This window comes from Homo sapiens, chromosome 8 (assembly GCF_000001405.40).
Source record: "Homo sapiens chromosome 8, GRCh38.p14 Primary Assembly".
In the NCBI taxonomy this organism is placed as follows: Eukaryota; Metazoa; Chordata; class Mammalia; order Primates; family Hominidae; genus Homo; species Homo sapiens.
The window spans coordinates 47,899,103-47,924,504 of record NC_000008.11 but is presented as its reverse complement, the minus strand read 5'-3'; the positions used below and the strand labels follow the sequence as shown (position 1 = coordinate 47,924,504).

General features: G+C 41.4%; 1 protein-coding gene across 2 annotated transcripts in view, besides 2 other annotated features; it reads left to right on the top strand.

The window, feature by feature from the left end:
• PRKDC (protein kinase, DNA-activated, catalytic subunit) overlaps positions 1–25,402 on the top strand; it is a 187,026-nt gene that overhangs the window by 35,632 nt on the left and 125,992 nt on the right. For both annotated transcript variants that reach the window (NM_001081640.2, NM_006904.7), the window contains exons 22-28: positions 6,122–6,228; positions 9,087–9,177; positions 10,441–10,604; positions 11,943–12,095; positions 19,529–19,636; positions 21,710–21,936; positions 24,038–24,132. In NM_001081640.2, coding sequence (NP_001075109.1) covers positions 6,122–6,228; positions 9,087–9,177; positions 10,441–10,604; positions 11,943–12,095; positions 19,529–19,636; positions 21,710–21,936; positions 24,038–24,132 — 945 coding nt within the window. The remainder of the gene's footprint in view (positions 1–6,121; positions 6,229–9,086; positions 9,178–10,440; positions 10,605–11,942; positions 12,096–19,528; positions 19,637–21,709; positions 21,937–24,037; positions 24,133–25,402) is intronic.
• Positions 494–994: an enhancer, noted in NCBI's record as "H3K27ac hESC enhancer chr8:48836071-48836571 (GRCh37/hg19 assembly coordinates)". NCBI's record gives its function as "activates a minimal SCP1, AML or CMV promoter by ChIP-STARR-seq in primed H9 embryonic stem cells {active_cell/tissue: H9 hESC(primed)}" and the evidence as "EXISTENCE:reporter gene assay evidence [ECO:0000049][PMID:30033119]".
• Positions 24,518–24,777: an enhancer, noted in NCBI's record as "active region_27330". NCBI's record gives its function as "activates an Ori minimal core promoter by ATAC-STARR-seq in GM12878 lymphoblastoid cells {active_cell/tissue: GM12878}" and the evidence as "EXISTENCE:reporter gene assay evidence [ECO:0000049][PMID:35858748]".

The window sequence follows — 25,402 nt, the reverse complement described above, 5'->3', positions numbered from 1 at the left end:
CACTGAAACCTCTGCCTGCTGGGCTCAAGTGGTCCTTCCACCTCAGCCTCCCAAGTAGTTGAGACTACAGGCATGCACCACCACGCCCAGCTAATTTTTGTATTTTTAGTAGAGATGGGGGTCTCACTATGTTGACCAGACTGGTCTCGAACTCCTGACCTCAAGTCATCTGCCCACCTCGGCCTCCCAAAGTGCTGGGGTTACAGGCATGAGCTACCATGCCCAGACCCACACCTCATTTTCCATTAATGGAACCAGGACTCCTTGGTTCCAACCTGGGGCCGGGAAAATATATTATGAACTTAGAATACTGTATTTTATAGAACATCCGGAAAGTAAGGACCTATTCAAAGCATGATGGGGGAAATGTCACAGGCAAAAGTAGTGATGACTTGAGCATCAAAATAAATAACTTTAGAAACGTTATAACCCAGGTAATCAAATAGGAAGCAGTGAGCATGTGCAGATATAAATAAGTAAAATGAGTAAGTTAAAGTTTCCTAGTGGTTTTTTTTGTTTGATTGTTTGGTGTGTAATAAGTTCTTATAAACTTAGCTTAAATTAGCACCCATTGATTATTTCGTAGATTTGTAGGACACAAGTCCAAATGGGCTCAGCTGGGTTCTCTGTTAAGTCATGTGACTGAATTCAAGGTGTTGGCTAGTCCAGGCTTGTTCACTCCCCATCTAGGTTGTTGGCAGGATTCAGTTCCATGTGATTGGAGGACCAAGGTTCCTGTCTCCTTGCTGACTGACGGCTGGAGCATGATTCTCAATTCCTGGAGGCCTCTGAGTGTCCTCCTAGGTGGCCCCTACACCTTCACAGCCAGCATGGCACTTTTTGAAGTACCATGGTTTTAAAGTACCTCAGCCAAACACGTACTAATGATTGAGAGTGAAAATGGTGATTTTACAGCATAGACACCTGGTAGAGCCCTTCTTTGCCCACTGACTAGCAGTAGGACTTGTGGGCCACACGTGCATCCTGATGTGACTTGCTGAGGGGAACTCAGTGCCACTCTGGGCCTCTTCTGTCAAAGACACATGGCCTGAATCTCCTTTTTCAGACAGTGAAGTCAGTGTAAAGCTCAGAAAATTTTTCTGGTAAGACAGTGAATCTTTGCTGTCTTGGCAGATTACATAGAATGATTTCTTGGCTGCACACAGTGGCTCACGCCTGTAATCCCATAACTTGGGTGGATCACCTGAGGTCAGGAGTTTGAGACCAGCCTGGCAAACATGGTGAAACCGTGTCTCTACTAAAAAGAAAAAAAATTAGCCTGGCATGATGGCGCACACCTGTAATCCCAGCTACTTGGGAGGCTGAGACCAGAGAACCACTTGAACCCGGGAGGCAGAGGTTGCAGTGAGCCGAGATCACGCCGTTGCACTCCAGCCTGGGCGACAGAGTGAGACTTCATCTCAAAAAAAAAAAAAAAGAATGACTTCTCATGGTACAGGCAAAGTCCTTGATCAGTAAACCAAAGAAGCAAACTTTTCAAGATTAAGTGACCTTTGCTAAAAATTTAACTCATCTCATACTATCTTTTTAGGCTCAGATAGTCGCTTTCCGAGATTTGTCCTGTGTTAATGTCCTTTCATATTCTGAAACCAATTGACACAACTTTCAAACACCAGTTCCCAGGGTGTCTGGGAGATCAGAACTCTTCTCATTGAAATACAGAGATGTTATGCATGTTAACATGACCTCCAAATCAATCAATAAGTCTTTAAAACATTATTTCTGTTTCCAATATAGTAACTGCTACTAGTTCTAACCCACAAAACAAAGATTTATGGGGTCAGTCCTAATTCTGGAAAGAGATCCAGACATGAAAATGTCTGAGATTCACTGTTTTATGAGGAACTACCCTCCTTACTTAAAAATGAAAAGCAGGCTGGGTGCAGTGGCTCACACCTGTAATCCCACGTACCATTTTGATTGACCGAGGGATGAGGATCACTTAAGGCCAGGAGTTCGAGACCAGTCTGGGCAACATAAGGAGACCTTATCTTTACAATTTTTTTTTTTTTGAGACGAAATATCGCTCTGTTACCCAGGCTGGAGTGCAGTTGCGTGATCTTGGCTCACTGCAACCTCCGCCTCCCGGGTTCAAGCAGTTCTCCTGCCTCAGCTTCCCAAGTGGCTGGGATTACAGGTGCGCACCACTGCACCTGGCTAATTTCGTTACAAAAATTTTAAAAATTAGCTGGATGTGGTGGTATACGCCTGTGGTTTCAGCTACTTGGGAGGCTGAGGTGGGAGGATTGCTCAAGCCTGGGAGGTCAAGGCTGCAATAAGTCATGATTGCACCACTGCACCATAGCCTGGGTGACAGAGTGAGACCCTTCTGAAGAAAGAAAAAAGAAAAATCAGGCTGGGTGCTGTGGCTCACACCTGTAATCCAAGAAAAATGAAAAATCAGGCTGGGTGCAGTGGCTCACGCCTGTAATCCCAGCACTTAGGGAGGCCGAGGTAGGCAGATCACGTGAAGTCATGAGTTCGAGACCAACCTGGCCAACATGGCAAAACCCTGGCTCTACTAAAAATACAAAAATTATCTGGGTGTGGTGGCACACACCTGTAATCCCGGCTACTCGGGAGGCTGAGGCAGAATTGTTTGAACCCAGGAGGTGGAGGTTGCAGTGAGTGGAGATTGTGCCACTGCACTCCAGCCTGGGTGACAGAGCAAGACTCTGTCTCAAAAAGAAAATCAAAAGCATGCATGCAATTGTATTTCTGTACTATTCTTCTAATATAGCCACACAACCACTTGTTAATTATATAATTACTAAACTCATGTTTCACGTAGAAAACTGGAGTGGGAAATTGAGAATTGCCTTACACACCAGCAGTATGTCAGACTCATGGAGCTCACAGATACCACTGTCTGCAGCCCCCCAAGAGACAGCATGCACGTGCCTGTTAGCATGACCCAAGGCTCCTACCTTCAACGGCCTATAAAAGCAAAAAGGAAAAGCACATAAACACAAAAATTGTGCCTTTTCATCAGTATTTCAGTATTCTATTAATATTTTCCTTAGAAATTATCAAAGTACCCAACCATCCAAAGTATCCATTAACTCAGTCAGTCCAAGGTTGCAAATTGCCTAAAGATAATAGAGATTATCTTCCAGTTGGCATGCTGCACAACGTAATTACTTGGGAAATAAAAAGTTTACCCAGATAATGATTCAATTTAGTTGGACATAAACTTATTACATTTTTCATTTTTTTTTCTTTTTTTTTTGAGATGGAGTCTCGCTCTGTCGCCCAGGCTGGAGCGCAGTGGCGTGATCTTGGCTCACTGCAAGCTCCACCTCCTGGGTTCACGCCATTCTCCTGCCGCAGCCTCCCGAGTAGCTGGGAATACAGGTGCCCGCCACCACGCCTGGCTAATTTTTTTGTATTTTTAGTAGAGATGGGGGTTTCACCATGTTATCCAGGATAGTCTAGATCTCCTGACCTCGTGATCCGCCCCCCTCGGCCTCCCAAAGTGCTGGGATTACAGGCGTGAGCCACCCGTGCCCAGCCACATTTTTCATAATCTTAAAAGTTGTATGGGACTGTTTCAGATGTTGAAAAATTTCTGGAGATGGATGTGGTGATGGTTGGACAACATTGTGAATGTAATTAATGCCACTCAATTATATACCTAAAAATGGTTAAAAGAGTACATTTCATGTTATGTATATTACACCACAGTTTTAAAAAACGTTATGAGAAGTAATGTTAGCTTATTAGCCGGAATAACTATAGGGAAAACAAACACAAGTAGAATAAAGTGCATGTTCGTGTTATATTTAATACTGATAGATAAAATACATTTATTTAAACCAAAATATTAAACTTGTCTCTTTACCACAGATGTGCCTTAATTATGTGAATATTCCTAAATGATCCCAAATTGTTTTCTGTACGATTTTTAAAATCTAGCACATTTAAAACACTGTTAGTTCAACTTCCTTATTTTTGGAGAATTTTAGGAATACTCAATTTACATATCTGTATAAATCAGGACAGAGCTCCTTTAAGAGACTTTATAATCTAATTTATCAATACCCCCCAAATACAGGAGAACATTATACACAAAATTAGATATAGGCCTTTGTTAATTATAGACACATACTTGCAAAGACACATAGAGAGCTTAGTAAATAGTTTCAGTTCTGCAATTTGAGCCAAAAACCAGGAGATACAGACATAGCCGACACCAGCTCGGTCATGGAGTCCCTAACCCAGGAGCGCTAGAGGAATTAAAGACACACACACAGAAATATAGAGTGTGGAGTGGTGAATCAGGGGGCTGACAGCCTTCAGAGCTGAGAGCCAGGAACAGAGATTTACCCACATATTTATTGACAGCAAGCCAGTGATAAGCATCGTTTCTATAGATTATAGATTAACTAAAATGGGAAACAAAGGGATGGGCTGAAACAAAGGGATGGGCTCTGGCTAGTTATCTGTAGCAGGAGCATGTCCTTAAGGCACAGATGCCTCATGCTATTGTTTGTGGTTCAGGAACGCCTTAAGTTATTTTCTGCCCTGGGTGGGTCAGGTGTTCCTTGCCCTCATTCTAATAAACCCACAACTTTCAGTGTGGACATCATGGCCATCACGAACATGTCGCAGTGCTGCAGAGATTTTGTTTATGGCCAGATTTGGGGGCCTGTTCCCCAACAGACATAGAAAATGCTGAATAGTCCAGATATCAAAGATCTGTTTTTTCCAGTGAACTAAAAATTCTTAACTTATTGGAGCTCAAAAAAAAAAAAAAAAAACCACTAAAAACTGGATTCTCTTATCATCTCTGGCCCATCAGAGAGTAGAACTCTTTAACATCTTATAGAAAGGAAAAGAACTAGCTAGAGAGAGCAGAGCTAAGATCCCACTGCCAGGGATTCATTCTGGAACCAAGAGAAGACTTGCTGGAGTTAAACCACCGGCAGGTGCCCTCCCGCGGCGCAGCTCACCTGGCTGTGTCAGTGAATGCACTGGACATCTCAGAACTTTTGGAAATGACTTTATAGTTGTAGAACTATGACTCTGCAGAGAAAAAATGAACATGTGTCAAAGTTTAATTCAGCAGTTAATAAAGGAAATAGTAAAATGTTACAACTGGTTCCCATAACCTGAGTCTAATCATGAGAAAACATTAGACAAATGCATATGGAGAGACCACGTATGAAATTACTGGCATATGATTTTTTAAATGTCCAAATTATGAAATGCAAGGTAATACTGAAGAACAGCTTCAGTCTAAAAGAGACTAAAGAGATAGGTCAACTAAGTGCAATATGCTGTCCTGAATTAAAAACATTCTTAGGTGAATGCTGAACTCGGAGTGGTGCTGAGGAGTGAATGTTGATAATCTGGTTTGGATGGTTGTGTGGCAGTTGTGTGGGAGACTGTCCTTGTGGAAAACACACATTGAAGCATTCGGGGCAGTGGGGTGTTGAGTCGGTCACTTACCCTCAGTGCTTCAGGAAAGAAGTTATATACTCTCCATCCTCTGTAAGTTTATGATTGCTTAAAAAAAAAAAGGAATTTATTCGGGGTACTTCAACACTGTAAATAGTCTTGTTCCTCATCAAGCTCACCATAATAGTTTTAGTATCCACTGACTATTCTTCTGAATCAGGTATTACTTTGATGGTTGCAAAATGGTGATTTTCTACCCCCATCATTTCTTTCATCCTAGTTGATGTTCTACTGCAAGAAACAATTTTCCCCGTTATTTATTTATCTGTATTAGTAAGATTTGTGGATTCTTATTTTTTCAGTGGGTCTAATCTTTTGCCATCATGATTGGTTTTGAAGCCCACATTGTCCCAGATTTGGCCCGAGTGTGATGCGTGGGAGCCACTCCTGCTCCATGAGATGATTCATGCTCTTCTCGACCCTGGAGTCAGACACTTCCCAAGGAGCCATGTTCCTTTTGGCAGACAGTGATGTTTAAAAGCAACCACCATTTATATTTTTTGTTTTAGAAACTTAATTTTTTTAAATCATAATTTAGGATTTTAATGTTTCTATTTGACAATATAGTTTGTTGCCTCTAATGTACATTAAATGAATGAATGAGTGCTATTTTAAATTTATTTTCGTTTACTATTGATAGATGAGACCAAGAATAACTGGGAAGTGTCAGCTCTTTCTCGGGCTGCCCAGAAAGGATTTAATAAAGTGGTGTTAAAGCATCTGAAGAAGACAAAGAACCTTTCATCAGTAAGAAGTCCTTTGTATTTTCTGTACCTTACATAATGCAGAGATCAGATTCTAACACTTGTGAAAAGTAAAAATCTTCATTTAAAATGTTAGTTGTTTTTGTATACAAAGTAGAGTACAATATAAAAATAATTTTAATATATTGACCAGGCATGGTGGCGCACACCTGTAATCCCAGCACTTTAGGAGGGTGAGGTGGGTGGATCGCTTGAGCTCAGCCTGGGCAACATAGGAAGACCCTGTCTCTATTAAAAAATACAAAAAATTAGCTGGGTGTGGTGGCGCATGCCTGTGGCCCCAGCTACTTGGGAGGCTGAGGTGGGAGAATCACCTGTGCCCAGGAAGTTGAGGCTGTAGTGAGCAAGATCACACCACTGCACTCCAGCCTGGGCAATGGGAGTGGCCTGACAAAAAAAATTAATATATTTTTAGCTATGAAAATATAAACTATATTAACTGTTTTGTTTATTTTTTTGGTCTTGTTTTTCTGTTCATTCCTGCCCTCAAATGTATTTAGTGGATAATAAAAGGTAAACTGGTTCATATTAAATAAGCAAGTCAGAATACTGATACCAGGGATATGTAAGACTTTCATTTATGCTTAGATCTTAAATATGTCATATTATCAGGTTCAGTTTGTTCCAGTTTTCTTTTTTGTTCTTTTATGGCTTTTTGGTGATAATTCCTTGGGGCAAGTTTTCTCGAGATGAGCCATACGATGTGATAGTAAAATATGACGTAAATAGAGAAAATTGAGTTAGAATAGGGAAAATAGCTATTTTTGGAATGAAGTAAGAATTAAAATTTGAAAAACTTTTAACATCTAAAACTGATAATGCAAACTCTAGGGTCAGTTCTTCTCACCTCATTATTTTGGGCATCTTTTGATTGAGAGACTAGAATGAAACTAGAAATGGCGGCATAAAAGTTTTTATAATTTTATGGCACAGCAGGATAAAATAAATATATCTCTAGTTTTACAAATAAAATTTCTTTTTTTCTTATCGATTTAATTTTTTTTTGAGGCAGGATCTCATGTTGTCACCCAGGGTGGAGTGCATTGGTGTGATCTCAGCTCACTGCAGCTTCAACCTCCCAGGCTCAAGTGATCCTCCCGCCTCAGCCACCCGAGTAGCTGGGACCACAGGCATGTGCCACTATGCCCAGCTAATTTTTGTATTTTTCGTAGAGATGGGTTTTGCATTGTTGCCCAGGCTGGTCTTGAACTCCTGGGGTTAAGCAATCCGCCCACCTCAGCCTCTCAAATGCTGGGATTACAGACGTGTGCCACTGTGCTTTGCCAAAATTTTTGTACAGATACACAATGCCTGTTCCTTAGCACTATGGTTCTCTAACTGTGACCCCTGGGGGATCCAGGGTGCAAGGCCAAAGCTATTTTTACTCCGTTAATTTGCACCACGGTATTATGATGGAGAACACTGTTGATTCTCTAGCGTTGACTCTGAGCACAGATTTTTAAAAATACTCCGTGTGTGAGGCAGGAGGTGCACCTGAAGCAGGCCTGCGTAGAAAAGTGTGACAGCTATCTGGAGAAAAAGCACTGTGTGGTGCTTTGAACTGGGAGCTGAAGTAGCCACTGCTTTGTGGACACAATTTTTATTGAAATGACAACTGAAAGGCACACTGAGGTTATTCATAGGTGGATATATGCAGACATTTTCTCTAAAATGAACCGAGCCTGCCACTTTGAGGAAAACTTCTGAAAATCTGTTGCCAATGATAAAATTTAAGCTTTTAAGTGAACTGTAAAGTTTTGGAGAACTTGTAACTATTGCAGTAAGTTTGATAGCTTCTCATTACTTAAAGATTTTTTTTTTTTTATTTTGAGATGGAGTCTCGCTACGTTGCCCAGGCTGGAGTGCTCACTGCAACCTCCACCTCCTGGGTTCAAGCGATTCTCCTGCCTCAGCCTTCTGAGGAGCTGGGATTACAGGTGCGTGCCACCACGCCTGGCTAATTGTTTTATTTTTAGTAGAGACGGGCTTTCACCATGTTGGTGAAAGGCTGGTCTCGAACTCCTGACCTCGTGATCTGCCCACCTTGGCCTCCCAAAATGCTGGGATACAGGTGTGAGCCACTGCGCCCAGCCTAAGATTTTTTTCTAATAAGATTGGTGGTGATATTTGCTTATGTGATTTTTTGCATATATAATGAAATGTGTCAACATTTGGAATATCTGCACAATCCAGTGAACCAGTATTTTCAGATGAGGAATACATGATGTTTCCAAATTATACATGGATGAAAAATCCACTCAAAGTGCAAGATCAGCCACTGGATTTTAACATAGTAGAGTACGTAGAGTTCATGATAAGAATTCAGATTCGACATTGTAACTAACCTTTAAGAAACTACGCTGGTTCAGTTTTGGTGTGATATCAAAGAAGAATAACTACAGTTAGCTAAAAAGACTATTTAAAATTTCTTGCCTGGTTTTCCAACTGCAATATCGGTGTGAGGACCAAACTGTCTCCCAGTGAGCTACACTGTAAACGGATCTGCACTACTGTGGAATGGCCACTTTGCCCAGAGTTTCATTTGTTTGAAAAATATAGTTACTTTTTATAACATGTAATGGGTTTAGTAGTTTAACTATTTACATAGTTTCTGTGTTTCAATTTCTAATGTCATTAATACTGATAAACAGGACCTACATAAAACAGCTCTTTGGGGGTCCTTGATATTTCTTAAGAGTGGAAAGGATCCTGCCAAAAAGTTTGGAACTGCGGTTCTAGGAAATGGACATCCAAGTGGGTGGCAAAGAGTTTTTTCCTATGTCTTCTATTTAATCTTTAACCCATTTGTAATCACATATATACAATTGTTCAAATTTACAGAACGAAGCAATATCCTTAGAAGAAATAAGAATTAGAGTAGTACAAATGCTTGGATCTCTAGGAGGACAAATAAACAAAAATCTTCTGACAGGTAAACTTCTTTTAAAATAAATAACCTCTGTAGATATATTTGTGCTTTTATTTGGATGTATCCAGGTCATAATATATTCTGAATATTTGCTCCTATATGTGATTTATATATTTCTAAATAAGATTATAAAGAATAATATCTTGCCTAATGGTTTGACTGTATCCGTAAAATTGGAATAATTCAGTATACTGGTAGAACATATGTTCTAGCTTGACTTGTTAAGCATGTTATCCAGTTTGAAACAATGTAATTTGATACTCTTTTCCATATTAGTGTCGGGAATTCCAAGTTAATCTCTTTGAGATCCAATATTGTTAATATTATGATATTTTTAGAAATTTTTCCAAATGAGAATTACCATTTTTGATTAGTAGGCTGCGTGTGGTGGCTCACGCCTGTAATTCCAGCACTTTGGGAGGCTGAGGTGGGAAGATTGCCTGCGCTCAGGAGTTTGAGACTAGCTTGGGCAACAACATGGCAAGAAGCTGTCTCTATTATTTTAATTTAAAAGAATCAGCTTTTTTTTTTTTTTTTCCCCTCGCTCTGTTGCCCAAGCTGGAATGCAGTGGCACAATCTTGGCTCACTGCAACCTCCGCCTCCCAGGTTCAAGCGATTCTCCTGCCTCAGGCTCCTGAATAGCTGGGATTACAGACAGACGCCACCATGCCTGGCTAATTTTTTGTATTTTTAGTAGAGATGGGGTTTCACCATGTTGGCCAGGCTGGTCTTCAACTCCTGACCTCAGGTGATCCACCAGCCTCGGCCTCCCAAAGTGCTGGGATCACTGGTGTGAGCTACCATGCCCCACTGTGCCTGGCCAAAAGTCTACATTTTTGATTAGTAAAAATTCCTCTGTATTTTTACTTTTGAAATTTGGTGTTAAATATACCAGTGACTTTTGGTTATTTAGGGAGTTAGAGCCTGTATTTGGAAAGTGTTTCAAAGAGATTTTTTTTTTAAGTAAAAATTTTGTTCATTGACTTTCTTCTACAAAATACTTTAAGTAACTCTTACTGAATTTGGATATTAAACATTTGAGACTATTAGGCTTGTTTAAAAGTAATTTTACTTTAAATTAAATCGAGTGATTTCTGATGTTGTAATTACATATCTGAGGCAAAAGAAAAGGGAAAGATGAATGAAGTGCTTCACTTTAATAGAATGTAGAACAGCTGGCATTAGAAATGTTTTGATTTGTGAATAATTCTGACACTAATAAAAAGAAAAAAAGTGTTTCATTCTTCTTAAATCTTTTCTAACAGTCACGTCCTCAGATGAGATGATGAAGAGCTATGTGGCCTGGGACAGAGAGAAGCGGCTGAGCTTTGCAGTGCCCTTTAGAGAGATGAAACCTGTCATTTTCCTGGATGTGTTCCTGCCTCGAGTCACAGAATTAGCGCTCACAGCCAGTGACAGACAAACTAAAGTACTTCTATTTTTCATTTCACCCATTATTTAGATCCTATTGCTTTAAAAATACATATTGCTTAGGATATAGAGAACATGTTTCAGCCATTCCAATATTAGTAATTTTGTATTTTCTGTAATATAGTAATTAGAAAACTACTTACTTATTAGAAGTCAGTGTCATTGATAAATGTAAGTTAAGTATAAATCATCTTAATAGGTAATTGGGCTGGGCATGGTGGCTCATGCCTGTAATCCCAGCACTTTGGGAGGCCGAGGCAGGCAGATCACTTGAGGTCAGGAGTTTGAGACCAGCCTGGCCAACATGGTAAAACCTGATCTTTACTAAAAATACAAAAATTAGGTGTGCTGGCATGCGAGTGTAGTCTCAGCTACTCGGTAGGCTGAGGCAGGAGAATCGTTTGAACCTGGGAGGCAGTGGTTGCAGCAAGCCGAGATTACGCCACTGGATTCCAGCCTGGGAGACAGAGCGAGACTCCGTCTCAAAAAAAAAAAATTGCCTTTCAAAACGTTAATATACCAAAAGCTCTTCATTATATAAAATGGAACATAAAGGGCATTTGAGAGTGATATTCGGGCTATGCTTGGTTATCCCCTTAACTCTGGGAGATTAGAAACAGATAATCTCAAATTTTCATACAGGCATAGCATACCTTGGTGATACTGCAGGTTCAGCTCCAGACCAAAGCAATAAAGTTAATATCTCAGTGTAGCAAATCACACTAGTTTTTTGGTTTTTCAGTACATGTAAAAGTTATGTTTACACTATACTCTGGTCTATTTAGTGTGCAATAGCATTAGAACTTTATATACATACTTTAAAATGCTTTATTGCTTAAAAATGCTAACAAAGTGAGCACATGCTGTTGGAAGAATTGAGCCAATAGAATTTCTCAATGCAGGGTTGCCACAGACCTTCAATTTGTTAAAAAACACATTGTGTCCAAAGCTCCATAAAATGAGGTATGCGTGTATTAATTTGTAAATTTTCTATAGTGCTTCAAAAAATATTTTTACTTAAAGTGATAGTTGAAAATGTGCTAACAGATGAAGCAAAGTTATATAGTTCTTTAATATGGCAACAGTGAAATATACTTCCCAGTTTCTAAAGCTTTTACATTTTAATTCTTTGTTCTTGGATAAAAAAACAAAGTGAACAGAATCATTAGTTTTATAGAACAAGAAATGTTAATTCCAGTTAATTTATATTTGGGTTACATGATAGTTATGTGCAATGAAATTTTTCTTCTTAAAGGCTAAATTGAGTGACATTTCAAATATTCTCTTGTCATCAACGTGATAACTTAAACATTGCTGACCTCCTGGTCTGTTTTAGGTTGCAGCCTGTGAACTTTTACATAGCATGGTTATGTTTATGTTGGGCAAAGCCACGCAGATGCCAGAAGGGGGACAGGGAGCCCCACCCATGTACCAGCTCTATAAGCGGACGTTTCCTGTGCTGCTTCGACTTGCGTGTGATGTTGATCAGGTAAGGGCTTTGAATCTGAAATAGTTGTAAAATTTCTAAAAGTTTGGTTTGTCTAATTCAGTGGTCAGCAGAGCAGTGGAATTACCTGGAGATGGTTAGGAACGATACTGCTCCCTGACTGCTACCCCAGGTGCTCTGGTTTAATTGGTCATGGGCATGACCTGGGCACCAGGACTTCTAAAAGCTCTCCCCTCCACTTTCAGTGTGTCTCGGAGTTTGGGAATCGCTGTTGTAGTTAAAAGTTACTGAGAGTCCAGGCATCTAAAGGTGAATTAGCTGTCACCCCTCTCATGGACAAACGTAGTCTTTCACAAAGGGAAGAAGAGAGAAATAACCATGGGCCGCGCGCGGTGGCTCACATCTGTAATCCCAGCACTTTGGGAGGCTGAGGTAGGCGGATCACCTGAGGTCAGGAGTTGAAGACCAGCCTGGCCAACATGATAAAACCCCCGTCTCTACTAAAAATACAAAATTTATCTAGGCGTGGTGGTGCGCATCTGTAATCCCAGCTACTTGAGAGGCTGAGGCATGAGAATCACTTGAACCCAGGAGGTGGAGATTGCAGTGCTCTGAGATCACGCCACTGCACTCTAGTTTGGGAGACAGAGTGAGACTCATTCTCAAAAAAAAAAATAAATAAATAAATAAAAAATAGCTATGGCTGGCAAGTGGCCTATACTATGACTTTATGGACAAATCCTTCACTGCTGCCATGAAGCAGAAAAAGGTAAGAAATCTTCTCAGTTCATTTTATGAATCTAGCATGACCTGGATATCAGGGTACACACTTAAAAAAGAAAATGAAATGCAAAACTCATTCAAAATGCAGCTGGAAAATTCTGCAGTATACATGAGTGGATATAGTCCAGCAGTATGTTCAGATGCACTGTGATTAAATAGAGCTCATAGTGAAAACTGGAAACTTACCACAGAAATAGATTTAACGTAGCAATGAACCTCTCCATGGAAGCCTGGAAGGCATTTGGCAGCTCCTGATAAACTAGGAGTAGTTTCACATGATGTTTAATGTGATAGAATGTCTGCCTGAATCTTGCAGCCAGGTCATCCTCTGTGTGAAGCACTGACACTCCCTTGTGCTTCCACCCAGCATGGGAGCATGGCCTGTTTCTGGGAGTGGTCAGTGCTTTACTTGGAGTTAGTTAAACTCTGCATGGACAGAGCCTGGTGTTCCTTGCTTCCTCTCCAGCATCTACCCCAGCACTTGGCACTTGGCAATCAAAAGACACTTGTCAGCGGGCCAGTAAGGCTAGGATATCAGCCCCACTAACTATTTGGGAGATTCTATTCAATACTGTAAGATAAGAAAATCATAGAAGGACTATTAAGAAGGAGAAAAGATTATTATAATTGTTTTCAAAATCTGGAAGGCCCAAGAGTAAGCATATCAGCTGATAAACTCTAAGAATTAATAAAGGAAAAAGCTGATGAATTATAAACACATAATTCTCATATATCTTTTTTCATATATTATTCTCATATATTTCATATATTAGTATTGACCACTTGGAAAATATGTCTATAAACATCTTATTCATAACAGCATCAAAAAAAAAATGTCTAGGAATAAACTTCAATGTGCCAGGCAAACATATTTTATGACTATAGAAGATGAATAGCTTATGTACCTGAGGTAGAAGTCATTATTGAAAAAAACGTCGTTTCCCCAAATCAATTGATAACTCTGGTGTAATTCCAGTAAAAAATCCAGAATTAATTTTATTTTTGAACTTAAAAGAATAATCTGAAGGAGTAATTGCTTGAGCCTAATAAGCAAGACACATTTTGAAAGGGTTGCACGCTGGAGGGAGTCTTGTGTAGTAGATGTTGAAAAGTGGCCTTATGGAGTATAAGAGGCTGAACCAGCGCACAGATGGCTCAGTGGGAGAGCTAGGTGCTGGGAAATGGCCCCTTGTGTGTATATGAAAATTGTGTCTATGGTAGGGGGTTATTTAAGTGGGAAATGGGTCATTTAATAAATGGTATTAGGTCAAATGACTAACATGTTAAAGAAAAAGTTATTCATGACATTCGTTAAGATGTTAAGGAAAACTATTAAAGGGGAGGCTACTCCAGTGGGCCTTTACACTGCTGTAGAGGGATTGGGCTCTACTCCAAATACTTATTGACCAGGGGGATTGATAGCCAAGGAGCAGGGTCAGGGTCAGTGGATGGAAAATAACTAAGAGGAATATTGGGGGAACCAGCCCCCAGTATTTCAACGTAGGTTCTTTTCTATTTTCCCTAAGTGTCGGCCGGTCTGAGAAATAAAGAGAAAGAGTACAAAGAGAGAAATGTTACACCCGGGACCGTGATGACAACCCCGAGCCGCAAAACCAGCAGATTTTTATTAGGGATTTTAAAAGAGGAGCGGGTATATGAACTGGGAGTAGGTCACAAAGATCACGTGCTTCAGAGGGCAATAAAGGTCACAAGGCAAGGCAAAATTAGAATTACTGATGAGGGCCTATGTCCCACTGTGGATTGTCTTGATAAACATCTTAACAGGAAACAGGGTTCGAGGGCAGACAACCAATCTGACTAGAATTTACCAGGCTGGAATTTCCCAATCCTGGTAAGCCTGAGGGTACTGCAGGAGACAAGGCCATATTTCAGTCCTTATCTCAACTGCATAAGACAGACACTCCCAGAGCAGCTGTCTATAGACCTACCCCTAGGAATGCATTCCTTCCCCAGGGTCATTCCTTGCTGGGAAAAGAATTCAGCGATATTTCTCCTACTTGCACATCCGTCTATAGGCTTTCTATGAGAAGAAAACTGTGGCTGTGTTCTGCCTGACCCTGTAGGCAGTCAGACCTTATGGTTATCTTCCCTTGCTTGTTACCTGAAAATCGCTGTTATTCTGTTCTTTTTCAGTGTGCACTGATTTCATATTGTTCAAGCACACATATTTTACAATCAATTTGTACGGTAGTGGTCCTGAGGTGATGTACATTCTCAGCTTACGAAGATAACAGGATTAAGAGATTAAAGACAGGCATAAGAAATTATAAGAGTATTGATTGGGGAAGTGATGAATGTCCATGAAATCTTCACAATTTATGTTCAGAGACTGCAGTAAAGAGAGGTGTAAGAAATTATAAAAGTATTAATTTTGGGAACTGATAAATGTCCATGAAATCTTCACAATTTACGTTCTTCTGCCTCGGCTCCAACCGGTCCCTCCGTGTGGGGTCCCTGACTTCCCACAACAGAAGAAACATCAGGCATAAAGAGGATTGTGGCTAAACCAATCCTAAGAGTGTTATGGCTGAAGATGGGCCAGGGTGACCAGACACTGCCTGGGGGCTGGGGGGAGATGAGGAATTAGATTATATATCAAGGGGAGGAGTTTTCACTGAACTGACTCAGCGGAGTTCTTGGTGAAACTGGACTAATAGAGATGAACATGGAAGCCCAGAAATCAAGGCCTAGTTGAGAAGAGTTCAGAGGAGCCTGACTAGAGTTAGGGTAAGGAAGAGGGGCTTTGTCACAAGTGAAGAAACTAACTGTAAATCAATAAGATTTAGAAGGAAAAACGAACTATAAATAAATTACAGAAAAATGTAATGACCACATAGCATATCTGTCTGTGTATATCTTTAGGTCTTTTTTGTTGATAACACATCAGTTTATAATATTAAAATGTTCAAAGATAAAAATGAACGTTCACGTCACCCCTTTCACCTGCTTGTTCCCTGGGAAAAGATGTTAGATCCTCTGTAAAGTCTGGAGAATGTCTTTATAATAACACATCTTGACATGTGCATAGATGTTTTGTTAACAAAAAGTAGACTCGTAGCATTTCAAAACGTTTTCTTCTGTGTGCAGTGTGATTTCTGCTCCTTGGATGGATTTCATTACTTTTCTATAATCAGCATCCTTCTGTGTCTTTCTATAAAGTTTGTACAGATAGGGAGACACATAAAAGTGTTAATGTATTGATAGTTTTGACCTTATAAATGTTTAAGACTACTGAATGGCACAAAACCAACATTGTAACATGTATAATGTGCAACATACTACTGAAGAGATCAGATTTTAAAATGGACAAATGTATAAAGAAAAAAATAGGCAGCTCATAAAAGAAGAAATGTAAATGGCCGATGGAATGTATCTTAAAATAGTCAACCGTTTTGTAAACAAGGAACTTCAAATTAAAATGATATTGGCTACTGTCAAATATTTAAAAGATGAACAATGTTTGGTGTTGCCAAGGGCACAAGGAAAGGACCCTGCGTGTCATGGTTGGTGGGGCGACACAGGCACAGTGCTCTGCAGCTGGGCTCGGATTGAGTGACCACAGTCCTGGCCTAGCAGCTTCCTTACAAGAGAGCTGCTTAAACAGTGTGCTCAGGACTCTCCACTCTGTATGGTAGTCATAATTTAGAAATACTTGCATTTCTAGCTGTAGGGTTCTGGTAGCTTGGTTGTGGTCCATAGTTGAGGTACTGGGTGGCTACTGAAAACATTGGTAGAGTGCATATGTTTACGTGGAAAGTACTCTAAGAAGAAACCAGTTACTGGTTTCTTCCAGGAAGACAGGAGCTCTGCCTCCTTGGCAGATTTATTTTTATTTTTACACGTGTATATACACATATTTAAATGTATATAAATTGGCCGGGGGTCAGGAGTTTGAGACCAGCCCGGCCAACATGGTGAAACCCTGTTGCTACTAAAAATACAAAAATTAGCCGGGCGTGGTGGTGGACGCCTGTAATCCCAGCTACTTGGGAGGCTGAGACAGGAGAATCACTTGAACCCGGGAGTCAGAGGTCGCAGTGAGCCCAGATTTCACCACTGCGCTCTAGCCTGGGTGACAGAGTAAGACTCTGTCTCAAAAAAAAAAAAAAAAAAAGGTATATAAATAAAATATTTTGAAAGTCGACAGTGGTTACCTTTGGGATGTAGGATTGTAGAGGGATGATTTTCTATAAAGGGGTATGTCTGTATTGTGTGTGTGTGTGTGTGTGTGTGTGTATATATATATATATAGCTATGTATACATGTATTAAAAAACTTATGTACTAAGAATAAAACAGTATGATTCTTGGCCAGGCGCGGTGGCTCACGCCTGTAATCCCAGCACTTTGGGAGGCCGAGGTGGGTGGATCACAAGGTCAGGAGATCAAGACCATCCTGGCTAACACGGTGAAACCCTGTCTCTACTAAAGGTACAGAAAATTAGCCGGGCGTGGTGGCGGGTGCCTGTAGTCCCAGCTACTCGGGAGGCTGAGGCAGGAGAATGGCGTGGACCCGGGAGGCGGAGCTTGCAGTGAGCAGAGACTGCGCGCCACTGCACTCCAGCCTGGGCGACAGAGCGAGACTCCGTCTCAAAAAAAAAACACCAGTATGATTCTTTTGTGGAAAAAAAAGTGATGCTTTAAGACCAGGTTAAACTTTCAAACTGAAAGTTAAGACCCTTTTATATTGATTAATTTTAAAAATTGCTTCATAGAGGCCAGTGAAGGTATTAGGGGAAAAAAATAGCTTCAAAGACTAGAAAGACTGTTTGGAAGAGTCTCTGTGTTGTTTAGTCTGAGCCCTGGGACATTTTGCATCATTTTTGAGGTGATATTAACTACAGTATGGACCTCTAATATCAAAGTACTTAATTGTTGAGCTCAATAACCGTGGGGAATAAAGGTCTCCTGGATGGCTCAGTACTCCTATAAAAGCCCTGGCCTCTGAGGCAGAAATGTACAGGATATCAGTGTAGGGAGTGTTCACCTTAACTTCCACCACAAGCATTTTACTTTTTTTTTTTTTGACGGAATCTCACTGTGTCTGGAGTGCAGTGGGACGATCTCGGCTCACTGCAACCTCCACCTCCCAGTTCAAGCGATTTTCCTGCTTTAGCCTCCCAAGTAGCTGGGGTTACAGGTGACCACCACCACACCCGGCTAATTTTTGGATTTTTATTAGTGAAGAGGTTTCACTGTTTTGGCCAGAGTGGTCACAAACTCCTGACCTCAAGTGATCCGCCCTCCTCAGCCTCCCAAAGTGCTGGGATTACATCGTGCCTGGCCATTTTAATTTTTTTTTTAGACACGGTGTCCCTCTGTCACTCATGCTGGAGTGCAGTAGTGCAGTCATAGTTCCCTAAAGCCTCCACCTCCTGGGCCCAAGCCATCCACCCATCTCAGCCTCCTGAGTAGCTGGGACTACAGGCACGCACCACCGTGCCTAGCTAGTTAAAAAATAATTTTTTGAGAGACAAGGTCTTCCTATGTTGCCCAGGATGGTCTTGAAGTGGCTTCAAAAGACCCTCCCGACTTGGCCTCTCAAAATGCTGGGATTATGGGCATGAACCACTGCGCCTGGCCAGCATTTTACTCTCATGTATAATGAGGGTTAGATCTGTAGCAGTTTATCTAGCTAATTGCTCTGATCCACTTCTCTTTTTGCTCCAAGATGGCCACATGGTCACACCTCCACCAGGCCACTAGGTTACACTTCCAAGCCTCCAGGAAGACAGGAGCTCTGCCTTCTTGGGTATGGATTTACTTGTCATAAGGGAGGAGCCCAGACCTGGAGACATCTTGGATTTTACAAAGCCAGGGAGCACGGGGCTACCTGGCCCCTGGAGAGGCTTTATTTATGTTCCAGAAGATTAGACCTAGGATCCTTTTCATCCTATCTCCATAGAGGTTTTCCTCCCTCCTTTTGGCAGCAGTGGGAGAGGCAGCTTCCTCTTTGTCCTGTATATAAACAGATTAAATCTGTTTTTCTATGTTCCTCCCCTGTGGTACTGGCTTTGAATTTGTGTATATAGGACATTGATTGGGTTTCATTTTGTCACCACAAGGGGAGACAGTTAGGCTGTGGGGAACCACAGGGTTGTTATTTGCTTTGTACAATAGTTGAATAGCGACTAGATTGTCTGTAATCCAGGATATCTTGTGTGCACGTTCAAGATCAAATGAATAAAGATGAGTATTACAAAGCCAACAATATGTATCCTAAATTGCCCTCCCAATCAGAGGAACAATGAGCTTTTGTTGCATATTTTTCTTTGCTGGACTCTTCATCATGGAATTTAACTGGAAAAGGAAACTAATGGGGCTGGGGATGGTGGCTCATACCTGTAATCCCTGCACGTTGGGAGGCTGAGGCAGGAGGATCACTTGAGGCCAGGAGTTCAAGGCCAACCTAGGCAACATAGTGGAACCCTGTCTCTACAAAAAAAAAATTTTAAGTTAACTGGGTGTGGTGGTACATGCCTGTAGTCCAGCTATTCTGGAGGTTGAGGTGGGAGGGGACCACTTGAGCCTGAACTAAAAAAGGAAACTAATACAACCATGGTAGTAGTATTACTTAATTTTATACTGCAAATGGCATTTAAATGGAACCCTTTACAGCGTAACATTTCTTTAACATGAAGGGAATTAACTTTAATGGTATTGTTTCTTCAGGTGACAAGGCAACTGTATGAGCCACTAGTTATGCAGCTGATTCACTGGTTCACTAACAACAAGAAATTTGAAAGTCAGGATACTGTTGCCTTACTAGAAGCTATATTGGTAAGTAATAGTTGATTCTTTTCCTCTTACTCCCATCGATTAGTTGTATTTGATGTTTGTTTATTTATTTATGTTTTTGAGACAGTCTTGCTCCGTCGCCCAGGCTGGAATGCAGTGGCACGATCTTGGCTCACTGCAACCTGCGCCTCCCAGGATCAAGCAATTCTCCTGTCTCAGCCTCCTGAATAGCTGGGACTACAGGTGCACACCACCATGCCTGCCTAATTTTTTGTATTTCAATCAGAGACAGCGTTTCACTTTGTTGGCCAGGCTGGTCTTAGTCCTGACCTCAAGTGATCCGCCCACCTTGGCAGTGAGCCAGGCACAGTGGCTCACGCCTGTAATCCAACACTTTGGGAGGCCGAGGCATGCAGATTGCATGAGCCCAGGAGTTGGAAACCAACCAGGCCAACATGGAGAAACCCTGTCTCTACTAAAAATAGAAAAATTAGCTGGCATGGTGTTACACACCTGTAGTGCCAGCTCGCCAGGTGGCTTAGGCATGAGAATTGCTTCAACCTGGGAGACAAAGGTTGCAGTGAGCTGAGATTGCGCTACTGCACTCCAGTCTGGGCGACAGAGTGAGACTCTGTCTCAAAAACAAAGAATAAGAAGAATTTCTGAGTATATCCAATTTTCTCCTATACTCAGATTCAATAACTAAAGGGCCCTGGAAACAGCAGTTCACCTTTTACACAGAACTCTCCTGACACGGAGAAGCATTGTCTTAGAATTTGGTCGCCAGCTCACTGAGGGCAGAGGCAGTGAGGCCAGCTAAATTGTAGTTTTTTTTTGATGCTTATTTTACTATAAATTTTGAACCTGTGCAAATAAGTTTATGTCTCCTGCACAGCCCTGGTTATGCTGCTGGCAGTGTACTCTGAGTGTGATCTTTCTTAGTCATGTTACGGGTAGGGGAGAGTGACTGAACATTCGTTAGGGTGGTGACATAATTAAACCTGTAGTTTAATTCCCTGCAGTGTCTACCAGTGAATCCTACCTATAATAAATACAGTTAGCTAAAGTTAATTTATGGCTTATTTACATTCAGATGTTTTCATTATAATGTTTCTGTTAAAAAGTTTTTATTTTAGTTGTTTTCTGTTTCTTTTCTCCCTTTTGATCCTTGAAGGTAGATTAAGTAAGAGATTAAGAAAGAAATCTGATAAGTAAAACGAGATAGTTGAGGAAAGAAAAGGTAAAGAAGCAGCATGAACTCGGTAGCACGGCACTCAAGTGAAGGAGGGCCGTGGGTTTCCTGGTGAGAGCTGCTCTTCCCTGCATCACCACTTGGCGCTGGTGACCTCTGCTCTGAAAAGCAGGAAGCACCCTCTCCTCCCATTACCATGGCTTGTGTTACCTTTTTGGATTCTAATTACCTCTGCAAGAAAGGATTTTATATGTAGCAGATAACTGGAAGTGTTAGGCAGAACTCTCTTAATTCATTGTTGAGTGTACGTTTTCAAGTTAAACTTTTCCTTTGTAGATCTGAGACAGCGTCATGACTAGAAGGCAACAAAGCATAAAGTAGAATACATCTCTGTGTGGTCGTTGGTCAAATGTCCATAGCTGTTTTCGGCAGGGCCTTTATGGGGTCTGCTCTTCATGCCTCCATAGGATTTTCCTTTATGGAGCAGTACAGTTTCTTTGGAACTTCAAAGGGTCTTATTCTCTTTGACTTCAATATGCAAAGTGTCTCAAAAGCTGTTATGGGGTAAAATCAACAATCAAAATTCCTCTGGAATTCTTAGGATATAGCCATTTTCTTTTTTTTCAGGGAAGGGAAAGATTGTTTTGTTATAATTAAAGTTTTCTCTCCCCTCTTCATGGCTTTTCAGTTTATTAATTTGTTTAAAAGAAAATGTTTTCATTATATCAGAAGGAAATAGTTATTCAAGCCTAGATTCTGGATACACTATGGAGATTGGTTTTACTAATGTTTATTTTTTTCTTGACTAGTGCTATAAATTAATTTTTAACATACTTTAGTTATGCTCAGAGATAGACCAAGGGTATTCAGTTGTCAGTGGTTATAAAAATTAGTACAATCAAGGTCTCTTTGTTTTGTTTCAGGATGGAATTGTGGACCCTGTTGACAGTACTTTAAGAGATTTTTGTGGTCGGTGTATTCGAGAATTCCTTAAATGGTCCATTAAGCAAATAACACCACAGCAGCAGGAGAAGAGTCCAGTAAACACCAAATCGCTTTTCAAGCGACTTTATAGCCTTGCGCTTCACCCCAATGCTTTCAAGAGGCTGGGAGCATCACTTGCCTTTAATAATATCTACAGGGAATTCAGGTTTGTAAGCTACACAACAGAGAAGAGAAACTTGTGGTTTTGAAAGGTGACTTGGAGTTTCACTCTGTGTATCCGTGTGTCATATTTCCTGCATTTAGTAAGTAATTATGTGCTGGATGCTGTGCTGTCTTCTGGAAATTAAAAAGTGAATTAAAATTCAGTTTGCACTCCAGAAGCTTGGAAACTGCTGAGAAATGCATGTAAACACTGTCTCAGCCATTTTGGAAATGCAACAAAAGACACATATACAGGGGCTTTGGGTGCACAGAGGAGGAGTAGCTGATCCAGGGTGAGCAAGTTTGCTGTGGCCTCTTGCTAGGGTTTATATTGGAGATGAGACTTGAAGGATAAATGGAAGTCAGCCAAGGCATTTTAGATCAAAGTTAGTGGGTGGTGGGGGGGTAGAGATAAGAAATAGGAAGGTGTCTGAGGCGATAAAGTCCTTTGAGGTTTGGAGGCAGGTGTCGTGAGGCTGGCGAGGAGGGCTCTGCTTGCTGTAGTAAGGAGCGTAGGTCACCGCTAGTGACAGAGGATCTGTGGAGTAGTGGGTGCAGGGAGAGATGCATTTAGATTTCCTCCTAAAATCCACTTGCTGGTAGCTGTGTAGAGAGTGGGTCTGAGTAGACTGAAGACTGGAACACCAGTGAACAGGCCATTTCAGAGGTCCAAGGTAAAAGACAAGTGGTCACTGACCTAAGGTAGTGGTGTTCATTCATTCATCCAGCATTCCTTATTAGGAATATTGTGTACCACATTTACCTGTGTAACCTCACATCCTGCACATGTACCCCTGAACTTAAAAGATGAAGAAAAAAAAAATGATGTGCCAGACCTGTGTCTATGTTGGAGGTATAACGATACAGCCCTTCGTGAGGGTTACATTTCAGAAGGACACATAGATAATAATTAGCCACATAGGCAAATGAGCAGTTCTGCAGATGCAAGGGACAGAGGCACTTGTGTGGAAACAGAGCGTGTGCTGCCTCTTTGGCTCATGTAGCTTTCCTCTAGTCTGCTCTTGAGGAAGTATCTTTGAGAAGTGTTTTAGGTTGTTTCATGGTTTTTCTTTTCTATTTTTTTTTGTTTTTGTTTTTGGAGACAGAGTCTTGCTCTGTCACCCAGGCTGGAGTGCAGTGGTGCGATCTCGGCTCACTGCAACCTCTGCTTCCCAGGTTCAAGCGATTTGCCTGCCTCAGTCTTCCAAGTAGGTGGGATTACAGGCGCCCGCCACTACGCATGGCTAATTTTTGTGTTTTTAGTAGAGACTGGGTTTCACCATGTTAGTCAAGCTGGTCTTGAACTCCTGACCTCAGGTGATCCCTGCCTCAGCCTCCCAAAGTTCTAGGATTACAGGTGTGAGCCACTGCACCTGTTTCATGTTTTAAGACAGAGCCCCCCCACCCCGCCCTTTTTTTCGTCTGAGACAGGGTCTTGCTCTGTTGCTCAGGCTGGAGTGCAGTGGGGGGATCATGACTCAACCTCAACCTCCTGAGCTCAAGTGGTCCTCCTGCCTCAGCCTCCCAGGTAGCTGGGACCACAGGTGTGCACCACTGCACCCAACTAATTTTTTTTTTTTAATTTTTTGTAGAGACAGGGTGTCACTTTGTTGCCCAGGCTGGTCTCGAACTCCAGGGCTCAAGTGATCTTTATAGGCATGCACCACCACACCCAGCTGAGCCTTTAAAAAAACAACAACAAAAAAACAATTTTTTTTTTTTTTGAGCTGGAGTCTTGCTCTGTTGCCCAGGCTGGAGTGCAGTGGCAGGATCTCGGCTCACTGCAAGCTCCACCTCCCGGGTTCATGCCATTCTCCTGCCTCAGCCTCCCGAGTAGCTGGGGCTACAGGCGCCTGCCACCGCGCCCAGCTAATTTTTTGTATTTTTAGTAGAGACGGGGTTTCACTGTGGTCTCGATCTCCTGACCTCGTGATCCACCTGCCTCGGCCTCCCAAAGTGCTGGGATTACAGGCGTGAGCCACCGCACCCGGCCACAAAAAACAAATTTAATTAATGTGTGCCTTCTTTAATTCCATTCCTTCTTTTCTTTGTCCTTTCTGCTTTATTGTTTTCTTAGGTGAGGTTTCCTATTCTTTATTTTACAGGGAAGAAGAGTCTCTGGTGGAACAGTTTGTGTTTGAAGCCTTGGTGATATACATGGAGAGTCTGGCCTTAGCACATGCAGATGAGAAGTCCTTAGGTACGTTTTGCTTCAGTGTTCTGTGTGCGTTACAGGTCTGAAGAGTTTCCCCAATGAGGAGTTAAGGCTCGTGTGATTCTCTTATAAGGTTTTTTTTTTCCCAAGAGTTCTATAAATTAATAAATGTGAAGAGAATCCCCTTCAGTGCCTCAAACCCAGCTTGTTAATAATTTTTTCATGCCCTTATTTTCTTTGACTCACCATGTACTCCTGGTGGCCATTGAGGTTGACCCTGGTTGGTTGCAGATTCTGCCCAGGGCAGGGGAGACAACGAAGCCAGTCAGACACTATGATGCTGTGATGACAGAACATGAAACTGTGCAGATATGGTGCTGAAGAAACTGGATGTGGTAACCACTGAGATGTGGTCAGTGCCTCTGCACTCACTCGTGATCATTTAGAAAGTAGAAAGTGGATCTCATTACAGGACTGTGATAGAGTTGTTTCATCCATGATGAAGGAATATTATAAAGATATTAAGTCAGAAGTAGGCTAAAATAGCTAAGAGAGTAATAAATGATTACAATTAAATTCTATGCAAGAAGCTATTAGGAACTACATAGAGTTGTTGAGCTAGAAGACTTCTTAACTCCCCGTTGGTCCCAGCACATGATGTAGTTGGGGCACAGAGGCTCAGGCGTGTCATTGACTGAGACGGCCACACAGCTGTGGCAGGAGTTTATCACTGATACGGGTCTTGACTTATTTTATTTTATTTGTTTATTTTTTGTGATGGGGTTTTGCTCTTGTCACCCAGGCTGGAGTGCAGTGGTGCGATCTCAGCTCACTGCAACCTCCGCCTCCTGGGTTCAAGCGATTCTCCTGCCTCAGCCTCCCGAGTAGCTGAGACTACAGGGACCTGCCACCACGCCTGGCTAATTTTTGTATTTTTAGTAGAGATGTTTCTCCATGTTAGCCTGGCTGGTCTATAACTCCTGACCTTACGTGATCCACCTGCCTCAGCCTCCCAAAATGCTGGGATTACAGGCATGAGCCACTGCGCCTGGCAACTTTGTTTATTTTTTAAAAAGACAGACTGAGCTCTGTTATCCTTCATGTTGATAGTCTACTGTGGGCAAAAATGTGTAAAATTTAGTCCTCATTGTCAAATTGCTTAAATTTGCTTTGTTTATCTTGATTTCCCATATGGGTGAATTTTTTCAACGAGTGAAACTTTTTTTGTGATCACGGACATATTTAAAAAACATAGAAAACTTTTTCTTGGTGACACAGGTCAAAATAAGATGTATAAGGCTCCTTTCCTAAATAA